This window comes from Homo sapiens, chromosome 1 (assembly GCF_000001405.40).
Source record: "Homo sapiens chromosome 1, GRCh38.p14 Primary Assembly".
Taxonomy (NCBI): Eukaryota; Metazoa; Chordata; class Mammalia; order Primates; family Hominidae; genus Homo; species Homo sapiens.
In genome coordinates this window covers 187,062,644-187,082,357 of record NC_000001.11, presented here as the reverse complement: position 1 = coordinate 187,082,357, position 19,714 = coordinate 187,062,644, and the positions used below count along the sequence as shown (strand labels likewise).

The 19,714-nt window shown below is 38.9% G+C and overlaps 2 annotated features.

Moving 5' to 3' along the window:
- Positions 9,062-9,471: an enhancer, noted in NCBI's record as "active region_2252". NCBI's record gives its function as "activates an Ori minimal core promoter by ATAC-STARR-seq in GM12878 lymphoblastoid cells {active_cell/tissue: GM12878}" and the evidence as "EXISTENCE:reporter gene assay evidence [ECO:0000049][PMID:35858748]".
- Positions 9,792-9,951: an enhancer, noted in NCBI's record as "active region_2251". NCBI's record gives its function as "activates an Ori minimal core promoter by ATAC-STARR-seq in GM12878 lymphoblastoid cells {active_cell/tissue: GM12878}" and the evidence as "EXISTENCE:reporter gene assay evidence [ECO:0000049][PMID:35858748]".

Below are 19,714 nucleotides of genomic sequence, written 5' to 3'. Positions count from 1 at the left end.
CAAAGATACACTGCCTCTAGCAGGTTCAGAGATAAAAGGTGACTTTCTGAGGAGAGTGAGCAAAAAGGTATGCTTCTCTGGAGAAGCCAACTTAAAAAAAAATAAGAATAAAAAAGGATAAATGGAACCTAAGTGCACAAGGGGAACATTTGATCTATGTTGTGCACCTAAAGCCATAAAAGAGCCAAGGAAGAAAGGAAACGGCTGGAAATCACAGAGAATGGTCCTGAAGTGTAGAAAGAGATAACATCCTTTCCTGTCATTCCTGCAGCAAACATTTGAATGCCCATGTCCTCTTGTGACTCAAAAATAAATAAGAAATGCAATGTTTTTAGAAAAATTGATATCCTAGGGGGTCCATCATCTTCACAGATGGGAGGAAACATTTATAATTGAGGACAAGGTGCCATGTTTCATGGGAAAAATTGTTGGGGAAAAAAAGAATATCATGAGAAAAAAAAGAAAGAGGAAAAAGGAAGGAAAAGGGAGGAAGGGAGGAAGGGAGGGATGGAGGGAAGGAAGGAAAGAAGGAAGGAAGGAAGGAAGATGAGAGAGAAGGAAAAGGGAGGGAGGGAGGCGTAGACCATTAGGGAAAGTCAGAGGCCTTTAGGAAAAGGAAAGAAGCAATAATACCTCTGGGACCTATGAGAAATAAAGATTGCATTTGGGGAAAGGCCTCACTCTGTGGGATTTGTGAAACTTAAAATGCCCTACATGGCTCTCCTTCATCTGAAACCCATCACCTCTCCAAACTCATCTCATAGAACTCTCCTCCTCACAATGCACTCCAGCCCCATGGACTTTCTCCAAGTTCCTCAAGCACATCAGTTCATAGTTCCAGGTGAGAGCATTTGAATTCCTACTCCCTTCACCTGAGATCATCTTCATTCAGATACCATCAGGGCTGACTCTCTCACTCCTCAAATGTGACCTTCTCAAGGAGGACTTCCCTGGGCCCCATCCAACACACACATGCCATTATACACATCTACACATTTCTTATCACTATTTCTTGCCGAGTCTTTTTCCCCACAAGCACTTACCATTCTTAATACTGTAAGCTGCATTTTACTTATTAATTTATTCCTGTATTTCTGCCTAAGATGTAAGATTTATAAAGACAGGAACTTTTGTTCACTTTTGTCTTATCAGGCCTGGAAGATTGCCTAGTACACAGTATGTGCTCAATAAATATCTGAAGGATGAATATTAAAAATATGAACAATATACTAGTCTAGTCTTTGAATTGAAAAAAGACTAAAGGTTTCATATTCTGAAGAACAAAGGAGAATTAAGCAGTGGGACAAATGAAGATAATATAGATGTTTTAGTCAGCTCACAACCAAATAAATGGTTCAAAGCTGACATGGGAGCAAGGATCCATAAAGATTTAACATTTAAAAAGAACAATTCCCCTAACAGCACTGTGGGGGATAATGATCATTGTTCATAGATATTTTCTGCAGCAGAGGGGAAAAGTTGCAGGGTTACAGGTATAATTATTATGAACTAAAGTACATTGGTAGAAGACCTGACTGAGAGACAGAAAAGTCAATTAATGCAATTTATATGTAATAATTCCTATGCAGACAATTACTCATAAGGCATATCATGGAGGATGAAAAGTAAGCATTTTGGTTATTTAAAGACAAACTGTAAGACTCTGAGTAGATCAAACAAATGTGCTCAACATGAGGGACTCTTTATATCACTCCAGCATTGTTTTGTCACACTAATGGGTGAACAATTGAATTGAGGTATGTTGAAGGAGCAGGTCTTCATGGAAAACAGGGAAGGAGGACAACTCAGTGCAATTAAACAAGGGCACTTCCAGAAAAAGTCAGAATAGCTAGTTTATGATGAGAAATACCTATATACTTTACGTAAAATGTAGACATATAGAGCCTTGTTCTGTGTGTTCTGATTGACACAAAAAGAATTGTATAAGAATTTTTTCCCATTTATCAGAAAGCTTAGAGACGAGATTATTCTGTATATAACAATTAACCCATTAACTATGTCTTCTTCATTCTGTTAAGCATAGGATTCAGCTCTAGACCTTGCTCTTAGTCAACTCTGAACCAGTATTTTCTTAACACAATAATAAATATAAATGAAAAGGCAAATGATGACCCCAGATTCTGTTTCAAAAGAAAGACACAACACTACATATTCCCACTGGAATGGAAGAGATTATGAGAAACCCTTACGATACCAAAGAGTAAATCCACATAACATGCCTCAGAAAAAAAGTCAGACATGCTTAAACTAAGAAAAATAGAAATGTCTTTTGTTCATCTAAAGCAAGAGAAGCAACTTGCTCCCTTAAAGCAAGCAATATTGATGGATGCTAGCAATGAGAAAATATAACACAGCTGGGCAGCATATGAGGTAAAAAGGTGTACCAGGGGCACGTAAAACAGCAATGATAAGAGAACAGAAGGTGAAGGAAGTATACATCTGTGCTGGGAAGAAGAAGAGCCATATGCACCTGTGGCACAATGGGGAAAAATACAACAGACTTGGACGTAAAGACAGAAAAATGACTCACGAGGGATGGCTTATAAAGATCCCGCATTTCCCTGGAAGAAAATACAAGGCATCTGGATTACACTGGGAACAGATGAAGCATATGGGGGGTAGAGGGAAGGTGCATCTGGAATTCACAGAGATGTATGTGGCAGGGCGGAGAGGGGAGGTGAAAGATGAGGTGTTGGAACCGATGTCGCTGGTAAATGCTATGCGCAAGGATGGTGCTCACGGGAACATTGATAAGATAAATATTCTTGAGTTCTACTAGGGAAAAGTGAGACACTCTGTGCTCCTTGACAGAAATGTAAACACTCTTCAGGGAAGCATTGTTATAAATGAAGCCTTGAGGAATATGTCAAGAATGAAAATAATAATTATAAAGATAAGGGAATCTCATATATATTGTGCATTGGTGATGGGTATGTAATAGACACTCCCTTTCAGCTGAGGGTTTTGAGCACGTAGAATGACAGATGAGAAAGATAACCATGGGGAACACGGTTTAAAAAAAGACAAGAAAAGGAAAAAAATGTCCACCTAGAGGAATAAAAGAGAACCCCAAAATAAAACTCTGGAATGTATGAGAAGGATATTTAAAACATCTGAATAACTTTGGAAGATAACTAAAAGTACTTCTAGCGACTAGGTAGAAAAGACAATACCCATGGGATTTACTGAGGGGGAAAATAAAGTGAGTTATGAGAGTGAACAGATGGTGCATCCCAGCTAAGGAAGACTATTATTAGGCTCTTCTAGGACACGGTAACCCAGATTCTACTTTTTAAAAAAAGATGGTGTTTAAGGATTTTTAAATGGGGAAAAATATAAAGTTTACATCAGTGCATTCTTGTATGAGTTTCACCAGGAAACTAGTTTTATGGCCTATTTCTGGGTTGGCATCCTACTTATCCTCACGGAATGCTTAGATATATCTGAGGCATAGAACCAATCACTTAACTAGAATGTTAATAAAACTGCTTAGCATAAAATAACACTGATTCAGCTTTGGGGGCATAAATATAACAAATCATGCTTATCCTGTGCCACCAAAATTTTGATTCTGTGGATCAGTCCCTGCATAAGGAGACTACATGAAAAGTCACTTCATGAGCTACAGGCTGCTGAGAATTGCACCACTGCAATTCGGAGATCTGCCACTTGCAGCTGCCCTGAATTGTTACTAGCTGCCTCAGCGGCATGTGAGCCTGTATTTCTTATACAGAAAAATATTATGTTGAACTACAAAACTGAAAGTGAGCAGCCTGAGGAAGCACAAGGCTTATGAGGTCAGGCTTTCTAATAGAATAGAACTCTGCATTTACAGTACAGAGAACAAATAAGGCTGACATGGAGTGTGCTGTTCTTCCTCCAGGGTAACCAGCCCAGCATGGTAGCTCATCCCCAAAGCCAGCAATTTACTCATCATCGTAGATGCTTCTCCTGCTCAGGTGCATGTCCATCTGGTCCATGTCCATCCTTTTCTTCTCCATCACCACTAATTTTGTTCAGCCTCTCCACATGTTTCTTCCGGACAATAGCCTCATAACTGGCCCTGCTGACTTTTGTCTTGCTACCACCTTCAGAACCCATGGGTTTACAGTGACCAAATCTTGTTCTATGTGACCAAATCATTTCCCCTTATTATATACCTTTTCTGGTTTCTTCTCACTTATAGACTGAAGTCTACATTCCAACTGAGAATGACAGGTAAGATATTTCATGACTTGCACCCATCTGCCTTTCCATCCTCATCTCTCACAGCTCACCCACATCAACCTAACCAGTTCCTGCTTTAGCAACATTGAATCACTTGTGGCCTCCACGAACCTTGTGGCTCCATGCTTAAACACTTTGTGCATGCCATTCCATCTATCAGGAATCTCTTCCTTCCTTGACTATATGAAGACCTACTACAGGCCTTAGCAGTGTTGCTTAGAGTCACCTGCCTCTGTAAAGCATTCCCCTATGTCTTCAGAGTTAATAATTCTCTCCTCTGTTCACTTATTACTTCTACTGCTATGTATATCACACTGGATTTTAATTATTGGCTTAAGCATATATTTCTCCTTCCAGATTGTAATTTTCTTGAGGGCAAAAATTGTATATTATGTAGCTTTTAAATGTCTAAAACACTATCATGTATGGTCAGATTATAGTATTTATTTTGGGGTCTATATATCACAGATTAATTGAATAAAAATAATCAGAAGAAACGAGAATATAATAAAGATACAAATAAAAATAATATAGAAAACAGATACTAGTGACAAAAATTAAATCATAGAAGTTAATATGCCCTGAGATATAAATAGCAATATGTGATAATTACCTATTAAAAAATGTGAGTAATCAAATTACTCATATTGTATCAAAAATTGTGATTGATTTATGTTTTAATAGGCAAACAAAATATCTAAACCTTTTGAATAATATTAAAAAGACTGTATAAAAAATTATATCTATGCAGATTAACATTCAGTAAAATATAATATCGCTGTGATATAGAAAAAGGAACAGTGATATATTGCCAAGATAATACAAAATAGCAACGTGGCTACTGACTATTTGAATGGGAGAATATAATGCATTCTGTCTGATGTGCCAAATGAAAAAAGAAGTTTTACAAGGTAGCAGAAGAAATGAAATGCTTATAAACTCTTAATCACACAAGGGTAAGTAAAATAGCCTCAAGTTATAAGGAGGAATCCAAACTGTAGACATAAATGTGAAATATGAAACTGATGAATAATAGATAGAAGTGCTGATAAATCTCATTTAACATAAGAGAAATTACAGTTCATCTCTTTGGCGGGAGGAAAAGACCATGTAACTTAGAACAAAAGGAAGTAAAAGCAATGGTTTAATACAATGAAAACAGAAAATAATTCTCTGAACTCTAATAGAGTTAATAAAGCATCATGTGCTGAGAGATAAAGGGAAGAATTTGCCCATGAGGCTCAAACAGTAGTAGCAAATGATGCTATAGAAAGACCATGTAGAAAGAAGGGTGCTGCTCCTGGGAGCCAAAAGACGAATGGCCAGAAAGAAAGAACTGACCCTCTGCAATGAAAGAAAAGACATCATGCATAGAAACAAAGAGTAGAGACTTCTGGCCTCATAAAAAACAAACAAACAACAAACAAACAAACAAAAAACAGGGTGTTGATAAGAAGGCAAGATACGTAGTATATAGAAGAAAGATATCAGACGTATAAAGGAAACACTTGAGTCTTTAGATACTATGTGAGAAATCCAGTGATAAAGTCATCAGAAAATTTGATACACCACACATATGAAAAGAAGAAAGAAAATCTTGTTCTTCTTGAACATCCACTGGGAAGGAGAAGAGAAACTTTTTTGGCTTAGGAAATGCATTGCTTTTCTGAGAAAAGGAATGAAACTTTTAGAAAACAGTTCTGAAAGAATGTATGGGAGATGGAAGCATAATTAAATAATAAAAGAGTATAAAGAGAAAATTACTATGAAATGTAATAAAGTAAAATAGGGACCATCTAATGTGTATAGAAAGAGACCTATAGAGTCTTACCTAAATGCAGGAATTCTCTAAATCAAGTTCCTTTAGCAGAGATGGGAAATGAAAGACAATGATGTTGGACAAAGGCATTATAGCCAGAGAAAGATGAACCCTTTCACCTTTCCCCATAAGTGCTTACGGGAAAACAAGGAATGTAAGTCACATTTGAATGAAGACTGAAGATGAATATATTGGCTTGGAAATTCTAATTCTTCTACATTTGAGAGTGTCTGTGAATAAAAATGACTTTATGGTGTTCTATTATTTAGAATCGATCATAAAAGCCATATGCCTGCCACCGTTCTTATTTTTCACAGTGGCAGTGGAAAAAAAACCTGCTAAATAAAATTTAAATAAAGAGGGAGAGATCAAAATAGAATTGCATTTTAAGTATATCCCAAAAGTTGTATGCATTAAATATACCAGTTTTATATAATCTGTTATTGGTGTGAATATATTTGCATTTCAAATGCATAAACTCTCCTACTTTATAAAAAAGTCAACAAACACAAGTAAGCATCAGAAACTGTGCTTAACTTTTTGGAACTTATGATCTAATTAAGTAGTCAAAATAAATATGAAAAATGGAATACTAATAAAGAAATTAAATAAGTTTATACTAAAGCAATGTAAAAAATCTCACAAGTTCTTGTGATCATTATCATCAAATAATTCAAAGGAAGTGTCTTATAGAGGAATTTAGAGCAAAATTTCTAGAGTAGTCTGGAAAGATTTTATAAGGATACAAAGTCCAGTTAGCTAAGCATGAAAGAAAAGTACTAATTATGTGGTGGGGTGTGGGGGGAAAGCAGGGATTATGAATTATGAGTACAGAAACACTGAAAATAAAATACAAAACAGATAAAGGGTTAAACTCTGGGCAATGGTAAGAGAAAGATAAAATAAAATAATAAAAAATACATCCCTGGACCATAGTAGAGATGCTTAAGGTAATGATGGACAGTTGATTCAAACCCCATCCCTTCTTCTAAAGTGATAGAGGTTAGATCAGGAAAACTGCAAAGTCCAGACTACGTTTCCTGGATCACCTTGTTCCTAGGTGTGGTCATGGAGTAGAAGGTGAAGTTTGATATTTCTGGCCCAATCCTTTTTAAACAATAAATGTGCCTACTCTATGTTGTCTTTTTCCTTTTCTCTTCAGCTGATTGGAAGTAAATGATGACAAGACCCTAGGGGATAAAAGATTCACGAAAGAGAAGGAACCTGAATCCCTGAATCACCGTATGGAAGAAAACTGCCAGCCAACCAGAAAAATCTATCATGGACTGTCATAGAATAAAGCCTAAAATTAAGGCTGAATATTACGTGCTGCTTTGACATCTGGTAAACTTGGAGAACCTCGAATGACCTAGTTGCAAGCTTTCCTTCTCACTCTGCTCCTGTGGATAAGGTGCCATAGCCAAGCAACCGTCCTTATCAGAGAACCCAGTCACAGTTTCTGAGCAATGGGTTTCAGTTTACCACCAGCCCACAGAATTATTCAAACAAGCCAATGACATCCTCTTCAGGGAACTAGGGAGCATCTTTCCCTACTGATACTACAAAGCCTGCCTCCCATAACTCCTAATTATTCACTCCGGTCCCAAGGAAAACCTCACATGGTCTTGTGAAGCATGTGTTGTCCTCCTCCCTCAGGGCTGTGAGTACACGTGACTAATAAACAGCCGTCAATCTCATCCGTTCAATGTCAGGTGTCCTATGTTTGGCCATCACTCTAACCCAGGGCAGGAATCGCTTCCCTCACCAGCAGCTTGAATAGGAGACAATTAAAACATTTGTTTAGGCCGGGCGCAGTGGTTCAAACCTGTAATCCCAGCACTTTGGGAGGCCGAGGCGGGCAGATCACGAGGTCAGGAGACCGAGGCCATCCTGGCTAACACGGTGAAACTGAGAGGTGACAGCGTGCTGGCAGTCCTCAGAGCCCTCACTTGCTCTCCGCACCTCCTCTGCCTGGGCTCCCACTTTGGCGGCATATGAGGAGCCCTTCAGCCCACCACTGCACTGTGGGAGCCCCTTTCTGGGCTGGCCAAGGCTGGAGCCCACTCCCTCAGCTTGCAGGGAGGTGTGGAGGGAGAGGCGCCTGCGGGCACCTGGGCTGTGCGCGGCGCTTGAGGGCCAGCTGGAGTTCCGGGTGGGCGTGGGCTTGGCGGGCTCCGCACTCGAAGCAGCTGGCCAGCCCTGCTGGCCCCGGGCAGTGAGGGACTTAGCACCCGGGCCAGTGGCTGCGGAGCGTGTACTGGGTCCCCAAGCAGTGCCAGCCCACCGGCGCTGTGCTCGATTTCTCACCGAGCCTTAGCTGCCTTCCCGCAGGGCAGGGCTCGGGACCTGCAGCCCGCCATGCCTGAGCCTCCCCCAGCCTCCGTGGGCTCCTGTGCAGCCCGAGCCTCCCTGAGGAGCGCCGCCCCCTGCTCCACGGCGCCCAGTCCCATCGGCCACCCAAGGGCTGAGGAGTGCGAGCGCACGGCGCAGGACTGGCAGGCAGCTCCACCTGCAGCCCCCGTGCGGGATCCACTTGGTGAAGCCAGCTGGGCTCCTGAGTCTGGTGGGGACGTGGAGAGTCTTTATGTCTAGCTCAGGGATTGTAAATACACCAATTGGCACTCTGTATCTAGCTCAAGGTTTGTAAACACACCAATCAGCACCCTGTGTTTAGCTCAAGGTTTGTGAATGCACCAATCAACACTCTGTATCTAGCTGCTCTGATGGGGCCTTGGAGAACCTTTGTGTCCATACTCTGTATCTAACTAATCTGATGGGGATGTGGAGAGCCTTTGTATCTAGCTCAGGGATTGTTAAGGCACCAATCTGCGCCCTGTCAAAACAGGCCACTGGGCTCTACCAATCAGCAGGATGTGGGTGGGACCAGATAAGAGAATAAAAGCAGGCTGCCCGAGCCAGCAGTGGTAACCCGCTGGGTCCCCTTCCACACTGTGGAAGCTTTGTTCTTTCGCTCTTTGCAATAAATCTTGCTACTGCTCAGTCTTTGGGTCCACGCTGCTTTTATGAGCTGTAACACTCACCGCAAAGATCTGCAGCTTCACTCCTGAGCCCAGCCAGCCCACCGGGAGGAAGGAACAACTCCAGACGCTCTGCCTTAAGAGCTGTAACCCTCACCCTGAAGGTCTGCAGCTTCACTCCTGAGCCAGCGAGATCACGAACCCACCAGAAGGAAGAAACTCCGAACACATCTGAACATCAGAAGGAACAAACTCCAGACGCGCCACCTTAAGAGCTGTAACACTCACCGTGAAGGTCTGCAGCTTCACTCCTGAGCCAGCGAGATCACGAACCCACCAGAAGGAAGAAACTCCAGACGCGCCACCTTAAGAGCTGTAACACTCCCCCTGAAGGTCTGCAGCTTCACTCCTGAGCCAGCGAGATCACGAACCCACCAGAAGGAAGAAACTCCGAACACATCTGAACGTCAGAAGGAACAAACTCCAGATGTGCCACCTTAAGAGCTGTAACACTCCCCGTGAAGGTCTGCAGCTTCACTCCTGAGCCAGCGAGATCACGAACCCACCAGAAGGAAGAAACTCCGAACACATCCGAACATCAGAAGGAACAAACTCCAAAGGCGCCACCTTAAAAGCTGTAGCACTCACTGCGAGGGTCCGCGGCTTCATTCTTGAAGTCAGTGAGACCAAGAACCCACCAATTCCGGACACAAAACCCCGTCTCTACTAAAAAATACAAAAAAATTAGCGCGGTGGGGTGGCCGGCGCCTGTAGTCCGGCTACTCAGGAGGCTGAGGCAGGAGAATGGCGGGAACCCGGGAGGCGGAGCTTGCAGTGAGCCAAGATGGCACCACTGCACTCCAGCCTGGGGGACAGAGTGACATTCTGTCTCAAAAAAAAAAAGAAAAAAACCATTTGTTTAAAAACAAATAGGAGGGAGAGAAAAAGAAAAAAATAACTATTGGGTATTGGGTACTAGGCTTAGTACCTAGGTAATGAAATAATCTCTACATCAAACCTCCATGACGCAAGTTTACCTATATAACAAACCTGCACATGTAGCCCTGAACCTAAAATAAAAGTTTAAAGATAAATAAATAAATAAATATTAATTTGTGGATGTATTATAATGCCAAAAAAAATCAACATCTTGACCTTCTGTCAGATCAACTGTGTGAGAATCTCTCACAGGTAGGGACTGGGGATCAATATTTCTTAAAAAGTCTCTGCAATGATTCTAATGTGCCACCAGACCTGCGAACTGTTATCTCAAAGGAAGGGACACGCCATCGCTTTTTACTGTTGCCATCTTGGACATCCAAACAAGGACAAACCTTAAGAATTGTGGAGCCAGAAGATAGAATTGTGGGTTCCTGAAATATTGCTGGTACCTTAAACCAGCTGACTTTTATATAAGATCTAAAATGTCGACCATCTTCTAGCATGGTATTTTAGGTCTTTTTCACAGCAGCCAAACCTGTATCTTACCTAAACACAGATTTTGGTCCTGATTCCATCACTGTCACTAATTGGGTGTTTTATAAAAGAGAAATTCCTTAATTCTGTCCCATTGAACTATTTCATCTTTAGAAATGGGCGTGGGCCGGGCGGGGTGGCTCATGCCTGTAATCCCAGCAGCACCTTGGGAGGCTGAGGCGGGCGGATCACGAGGTCAAGAGATTGAGACCATCCTGGCCAACATGGTGAAACCCCTTCTCTACTAAATATACAAAAATTAGCTGGGCATGGTGGTGCATGCCTGCAGTCCCAGCTACTCGGGAGGCTGAGGCAGGAGAATCACTTGAACCTGGGAGGCGGAGGTTGCAGTGAGCCAAGATCATGCCACTGTACTCCAGCCTGGGCGACAGAGCAAGACTCTGCCTCAAAACAAAAAAAAAAAAAAAAAAAAAAAGAAGAAGAAAAGAAGAAAAAGAAATAAATAAAGAAAGAAATGGGTGTGATTACTCTTTTGCAGTCACTTTAAGGACTAATAATACTAAAGATTCCAGAGCAAATGCCAGCTTCTATGTAAAGAGGACCAGAATTCAAACCAAACTATTAACCTTTAACTTGTTTAAACTCCACAATAACAATCTCAACAAATGATAGTGTTCACATTTTACAAATACTAATATCAGGTCCACAGTGAGGTTTAGAGATTTCACCAAGGTCAAATAGCTAGCAAATGTTGAAGCTGGGATACTAACCCAAACGTTTCAGCTTCAGTCTGTGCTTTTATCTATACTACTATAATAAGTATCAATTACATGAAAATTAATATGTGAACACACACATGTTAGCATGCATATCGCATTGTAGGCATTAAACGAAGGTTTACTTCTTCTCCCCTTCTAATCTTTACTGAAAAAACCCACTTGTGCACATGCACACACATGCATACACATACCTTTTAATCTTCCTTCTTGGCATAAGTAAACGGTAGTTTTCCAGAGAATTATATTGAGGCTAGGAGTCAAAAGGCAATGAGGGAAAAAAAATTGGAGGCATTGATGGGAACAAAAAAAAAATCTCTACCTAATGTAAAAAGGAGATAACCGATTTCTTTCACCAATCTCCTTTAGCATCCCCATTCAAAAACATAAAGCCAAATCTGTGTCCACTGTCTGAACACAAAATTCAGGATGCAACAATGAATGTTCACTGACAGTACTTGTAGCAGTAAAGTAGCATGTAATTGACAAACAAAAGTTAAAAACGACATCCACAGTAAGAATACTCAGTCCCGAAAAAATTGAAATGTGGATGCTCCGGGGACATAAAAATGTCACAAATGGAATCCATGCCAAAAAGAGATATTCCTCCCTAAACACACTAAAGGGAAACGCTGTCACATACCAGACACATAGACAGGAAAAGATGTCCTGGAGAGGTGGAGAGAAGAGTAGACTCCTGGAACATATGGTAATAAAAGATGAGAAACTTGAATGCAAAGGAGGGATATGACTGACCCACATGTCATAAAAGATGACACACTTGAGATGCTGTACGGGAAAAGATGACTTATCAGAGAAGTTAGTAGGTAAAATATGGAATGTTTTACCATTACAGAGACAGACGCTGACTTGTGAATAGCTCTTGTGAGTCAGCTTACCATGCTTCTTTTGTTCCTTTCATGCTGGGGGGGTGGGGCAAAGGAATTATAAGGAAGCCTCCTGAGATCTTCCAGTCTTACCAGTATTCCCCTTGTTGCTACTAAATACATTTAATAATTCATCAAAGTGTATTTCCCAAATCTGTTGCCAATAGCAGTATAATATTTGTTCCAAGAAGCGAAAAACAAAGCTAGAAATATTAAAGTTTCTGAGCAAGTTCGGAATTAGACAAAGAAATTTTCTAATAAGCCGTAATATGAAAGTCCTGTCATCTTTGCTTTAAAATATTGAGCTGCCTACTTCTTTATCCATATTCTGCATATAACGTTTACTTCAAGTAAAAGTACTCCTTGTAATTTTATTCTTAGAAGGTTCTTGGGCACAGATCTACTATGAAAGAAGAAAAAAGTCAGTGGAATATCACACAAATTATGATAAAAGATACCCTAAAACCTTCTTAAATTCAAGCTTAAATTGTTTTCAAAACTTACTTTATCAATCAGAAAAATCATAGATGTTTGTCTGATAAAATGGTTCCACAGGAACTTTAAATAAACCCAGCTTCTGTAGAAAGCTGGAGAGAAATTGCAACCGATCTTTTGAGCTTTATAAAGCCCCACCTGTGCACAAAATGTGACAGGAAGCCACTGCTTGAAAAGCTACATCCACAAAACAAAATGGACATTGAAAATGTCATACTGAGGTGCTGTACATCATCAAAGTAAGAAGGGGGTTTTAGTCCTGTCTCTGCCTCTTAGTAGCTATGTAATTGCTGGCAAATTACCTGACCTTTTGGAATCTCAATCTTCTATAACATCAGGATAGTAATAGTACATACACTGTAGGGTTTTCTAAAGGATTAAATGAATTAAAATTTATAAAGTGATTAGTATAATGCTTAGTACATACATAATTGATATTATTATCATATGTCCTATCATGAAAATATTCTTAGCCTGAATATAGCACAAATCTTAATAAATAGGATATTTATTCTTAAAAAATCTCAAAGTATAAAAGACCATGTTTTTCCTATTAAATTAGTAAGAACTAAACAAGAAAGAAACTACTTAATGCTGTTAAAGGAGTTCTTATACTGTTGGTACATGGCTAAATTTATATAGCCACTTTAGATCTTGGTAAATTATTTTGCTTCATTTCTATGCAGAAGAATGGAAGAAATATACCAAAATGAAAACAGTGGTTACTACTATAAGCATGCACTATGTAAGCATTATTTTGCTCATATAAGAATAACTGGGACTTCATCTTAATGAAAATACTTATAGAAAAAGGTAGAAATCTATAGATAAGAGACATAAGTAAAATGCTATGAAGATTTTGAGTTAGAAAAGTTGCTTTTAACTGGAAGTAACAGCATCAAGTCTCAAGTGGTCACAGCATTTGTGCAAGGTAGAATTTCAACAGAGAAACGATGGTAGGAAACCCTTTGATAATATGAGAAAAGGATCAGATATAGGACAGGACTGGGCATAATTAGGAAACAGCAAGCCATTCAATTTATCTACAAAGTGATAAAAATTGACATTCTTCGGTGTATACCAAGTCATAACTGGAAAATCACATTCATGGAGTCATGTTACATTAGGGTAATTGTAAAAGTATATTTAAAAAAACAGAAAAAAAGGCAACCTTTAGGCAAATGGCATTTAATTCATTTTTGGAAGATTTTAAAATTAAAAGATTTCAAATAAGAATCCCAGTTTCTGGAACAATGAGCCTGAATATTGGGCAGAAGTAACTGCTTTCCCTTTTAGAGAGGATGTGCTTTCCAGAGTCATCACCACACATGCAGAGCATTCACAGGTGCACCTGCCTCTGTTGCCTGCTCTATTTACCTTCCCATGGATTTGAGTTTACAGCCCACAGTAGGACATTAGAAGCCTGATGAATGGGGTAACTAAAATATATGTCAACACTATATTATTTCCATAAGTTTTTTTAAAAAAGATGTGATTTGCTAATTTAGTAATTTATACTGGGATAGATCAAATCCAAAAAAAAGTGCCACATCTTCACCATTGTGTATGTGTGTTGTGTGGCATGGAGAATGGGAGTTGTTGCTAGTTTATTTAAACAATTTTGTTATTCAATTTGTCCTGTTAAATCAAAACCAACTCAAATGTTTATTTCTCTCTTCTGTTCTCCATTCAAATATTGTTTTTCCCCTTTTCTTTTTCTAAGTAACACTAGGAGCATGGCCTATTCTTCCTTGTGGACATCTTTTCTGAAGACTATAAAACTCTAAAATGATTAACTAGTGTCCATTGCTTTAACACAATCCTTTACTTAGTACATGATGCTAATACCTTCAGACATGTATCAGATTAGTACATTTCTTAATGTTCTTTAATGTCTTTAATTTCTTTATGGTCTTGAGCTCCACTTTTACTACTTTTTTTTCCATTTCAATCACTATACCTTCTAAGTCTCTGGAAGAAGTTGATCAAGGAAAGATTCCCCTTGAGATATTGTAGTTTACTTAAAGAATGTATTTTTTTTTTTTCTATGTGAAAAGGATTGTGAGCCACAAGAGATCCATCTCCTTGAGAACAAGTCTCTCTTTCTTGATAATAATATGAGCACGTACTGAATGCTTCTTATGAGTCAGGCCCTTTCCTCAGTACTAAATATGTATTTACACCTTTACTCTTCACAACAATTTCCACTTCGCAATTTAGAAGGTAGGTATTATTTTTACCTCCACATTGTACAGATGAGGAGTTGAGGTGCAGAACATGAAATAGCTTTTCCCAAACAACACAGCTGGCTGGGAGCTGAGCCAAGCTGCAAAGCCAGGCAGGCTGGCTCCAGCTCCCACTGTGTACCCACCAGGCCACCCTGCCTCCCACCTGGCACAGCCCCAGTGACACACACTGCCCAGCATGTGGGACACAGTTCATGAACACTCACTGACTTTAATTCAATTTAACTAGAAAGTGCTAAGATAAAAATAGGGAATTAGGAAAAAATGAAAATTGTAAGTGTTTAGCTTATCATTATGAGTGGCAGAAAGCATGATTTAAAATGTTATAAGTCTTAATCTATGGTTTCCTTTGTGGTATTTACTATTTACCATTTTCTACACTCTAATGTGAACCTTAAGAGTACAGACGTAAGCGATGGGAGATTTATATAACAGTTTTGTTTACTCAAACATATTTTATATGTGCAGAATCTTAAAAATATAAAGATGTATAGAAAATAATGTAATAAATATCTATATTTCCATCATCTCAAATTAGCTATTGTTAACATGTTTTCTTTGTCTTTCTTTCTTGGGAAAATAAACAATGAAGATAATGTTGCAGTGCCCTTTAGAGAATACAATTCTTTTTTCCTTGGCATGATCTAGTTTTCTTTGATCCAATATGCTGGTTCAATGCCAAGAGTGGATGCTTTTCCAGCCAAAGATGAGTCTTTCCTCATAGTTCATCCTTCTTCCCAAGTAACATATAGAAAAAGACATGGTGTCTCTAAAACTGTTCTTGCAAGTGTCTTGCTAAGGTCAGCTTTAAAAAAAAAGGCTGAATCATCTTTAAACATATTGGTTTATAATAGTTTCAATTTTTCTCATTATGCATTAGGATAACAATAATAACCTATTTTCAACCTAACAAATACTTTATCTGAAATACTGTTTGTGTAGAAGTATCTTTGAACTCACGTTGTCGAAGACCTTGAAATTTTCCCTTGTTTTTCTCACAAAATATTTTTAAATTTCAAGATAAGTTCCAGAGAAATCCTCCACATAAAAGGCAAGAACCAATAAGTGTCCTTTAAGCCTCGTATTAGCCATCAAAACCCTTTACTCATCTGAGCTGAACTGGCACATCTGTGAGGAGCTGGGCTTCACCTTCTCATCCCCTGTTGCGTATTTCACTTTTAGGAAAAACTGTTTAAAGTACATAACCCTCATGCTTCCATCCCATCCCCCTTTTTTTTGTTTCTAAAAGAATGCACAAATATCAGATTTTCACCTTGTTCTTTTTTTTTTTCCCCAACAAAGTCGCACTCTGTCACCCAGGCTGGAGTGCAATGGCGCAATCTTGGCTCACTGCAACCTCTGCTTCCCAGGTTCAAGCAATTCTCCTGCCTCAGCCTCACAAGTAGCTAGTATTATAGGCATGCACCACCACACCCAGCTAATTTTTGTATTTTTAGTAGAGACAGGGTTTCACCATGTTGGCCAGGTTGGTTCTCTTTTAATGAGCTTGTAAAAACATTTATCCTAACTACAAGTGTCTAACAGGTTCTTCACTTACAAGAATAGTATATTTTTCTCTTTTTTGATGTGTATGGGGTAAGTGGTGGCACATACTTAAGTAGCATAGACTAGACCCCTACACACAACACAACAGCAGTTCCAAATTCTCGGGCCACCTGATTGGACATAAGCAAACACCAACACATGTAAAATTGTAAAACACTGCATAAATATTTGTTTATATGTAAAACAATTACGTTAATATCACCTCATTACTGTTAATATCACATTTTGCAAACATACATACACATACATTAAGATGAAATTATACATAACAACATATAAAAGCAGTCAATATTACTATTGTGTTCCTTTCACAGAAATATGATTATTGAGTTTGAGAAAATGAAATGAGATTAAATAGCTAAAAGTATATCTGTAGATAGAAATCATAGATATTCCTAATGTATTTGGATGTACCCCATTCCAGATCTGCCCATGCTTCTGCAATCAGCTTCTACTCATCAGATTGCATGAAGCTGATAAAGGGGCCATTTGTCATTCTTCCCTTAGAAATCTTAAATCAGACAAAATTGACTCCTTGAAAACAAAGACCTGGTTCAATCATGTTTTGACATAGGAGGCCCCACGCCAAGTTTTTGTGCAGGATTCCCATGGAGATCAGACAATGTCATCTCTGCCCTAGCAACTGAGTTAAGTCTTCTGAAAGTTTCTATGTTACTTTTCCTAATACCCAAATGTGCAGTCACACCACTCAAGAATAGCTTCCAATGCCACCCATTGCAAGACTACAACAGTAGCTGTAGTCTTCATCAGCTGGAGGAAGAGCACTTTGCACCGCTGATACTACAATTTGCTTCCAAAGTTCCCCTGGTTCTAGAACAGTCATGGAGCCACACACTATTGAGATGTCCTGTGTCACAACCAATACATATCCCTCCGGTGTCTCACCCACTGTGCTTCTGAGCTCTTTCTCCATGTTGGATGGAATTCACATCCCTGCCATCTCTGTCAGTGCTACTGCTGACACAACTCCCTTTGCTCTCATCATCGAGAGTTTGAAATTCTCCACTACCTTTATCATGATCCCCATGGGAAATAATAGCTTGGCTGAAAGGCAAAGGCCTTGCCTCTGGGGTCACTGACATGTAGGAGAATATTTAAAAACACAGCTCTCTAGTCTTCACAATGTAATAAATATCAGCTTGACAACTTCTGACATTGGGAAACACAACACTCTTGGAGACATTGCTCTGGCTTCTCACTTTCGCTGTCAATAAGCTGATGCGGAGGGTTTGTTGTACTCTGAGCATTGCTAGGAGTCTACACTAACTGGGATGCCTCTAAACAGCCCCTGCACTATTCAAGAGACTGTCTCCTGTCTGAGGCTCAGACATCTCTGGTCTAGCCTTAAAATCTCTGGTTGCCTTCACAGAAGCCTAAAGGCATATGTACAACCAGCAATACTGTCTAGCTAGGACTGCTGTGCCCACGGGATGAAAAGCCTATCCACTGCCTAGTGCTTGTAACACACACTCATTAAATACCATGGATCTGGGTTACTCAAATTTATCACATTCTTAGAGGCTGTATCTTATATTAGTGGTGAGTCAAACCATATTTTTCACTCAATTATGTTTCCTAAGGGGTAAACTCCACAGTCCTTTATCTATCTTTCTGTTCATGAGCCCTTTCTAATTTATCTCCATTTTCTAATTCTGAAATCCCCATGCTAAGTTTAGTGAACCATACAAAACATCTTCAGAGCCCTGTGAAAGGAAATTCACTATATGCTAGTATAAGATATTATTGCCAGTTGTCTGTGTGTTTGTTTTTGTGTATTATTCTGGAGATACACTGTTAATTTTACATACTCCTTAGTGTTCTTTGTCTCGAGATACAGACTTCTCCCCTATAATATAAGGTTCTGTTTTTCTATTTTAAATTATCTGTTGTTTTGCCCCCTTTTAAAACCAGTTATGCTATTCTTTAGTCTTATTGCCAATTCTACTTCTTTCAAATCTTATTAAAGAAACAAGATAACATTAAGTAATAGAAAATAAAATCTACGTGAAAATGTAGAATACTCCAATTAGGTAATGGCCCACTTTAAATAATATTTTCCAATAATTGCCTACCTCATATTGTTATTCCTAGTTTATTTATTGAATCTAGCATAAGTTTTAATTCACACACCACAATGTTTTGTCAAATAATCTGGCAAAACAAATAATGTTCACACTAATTGTGTATTTCAGATACATGCTATAAGTTCTTTTGAGGGCAAGAAGAGGAAAAGAAAGAGAACGAAAGGAGATGTGGATGTAAGAGTCAGAATTTCTAACATTATACATTTATAGTATGTACAGTTCCCTGAGTTTATTTTTCTGAGACTATCAGCCACTCTAAAGAAGTGATTTGCTATTACAGTTTTACATGTGTGTAACCAAAGCACCAGGGTTTTCCCACAATAAAGGAGGTGACTAATACCTGAACACCTTTCCTACTACACCATGCCCAGCTGTTCCATCTCCGAAGGGCCTAGAAGGGCCCAGGTTTTTTTGAATAGATCATTTCAACTAGCTATCAAAAAAATATGAAAAAGAAAGACTAGAAAGATATCAAAATAAATCAAACAACACTTTGGGTCAGCCTGTGATGTAAAATTCTGGTCCAGTTCATGAGGTTTTATAGCAAATAGAGTCAACATTCAAAGTCTTGCTGACATTTTGTTTGTTTTTCAAGAACTTAAATTTTACTAAAGTGTTTTAATATTTTTAAACCGGGAAATTACCTGGTCAGTTGCCCACAAAATAAAATAAAATACAAAATGAAAGTTTACATAAAAGGGATCTTAGATGGCAGTAAAGACAGACAGAGTAAAATGAGCTTTGAGTGAGAAGAAAAGAGTGACTGCTATGAAGGAGGTGGATCTGTGAGCTCTCGTGTTCCCTTAGGGTCCTGAAAATGTTCGCATTCGGTAATAGAAATGCAGCTGCGGCAAGAGTTTCTTTTCTTTCGTTTTCAATGTCAAAAAAATGAAGTTATTTTATTTTCCAGCTAGAACATAATTCTAACATCACTGTTTGCTTTGCATGCCACCTAAAATTAACCACAAATGAAATGGCTTCATTTTGTTCTATGTATAAGTAAATAAAAAATATCATTGTAACAGATTAACTGCATCCATGCCTCCAAAACATTGCACAGCTAGAAATCGGCTGGTGTGCCCTTTCTTTGTCGATTCAAAAGTCTGCATCCAAATCCTGCTCTATTAGTATCTCTGAAGTTTTTGTCTTTTGTATAA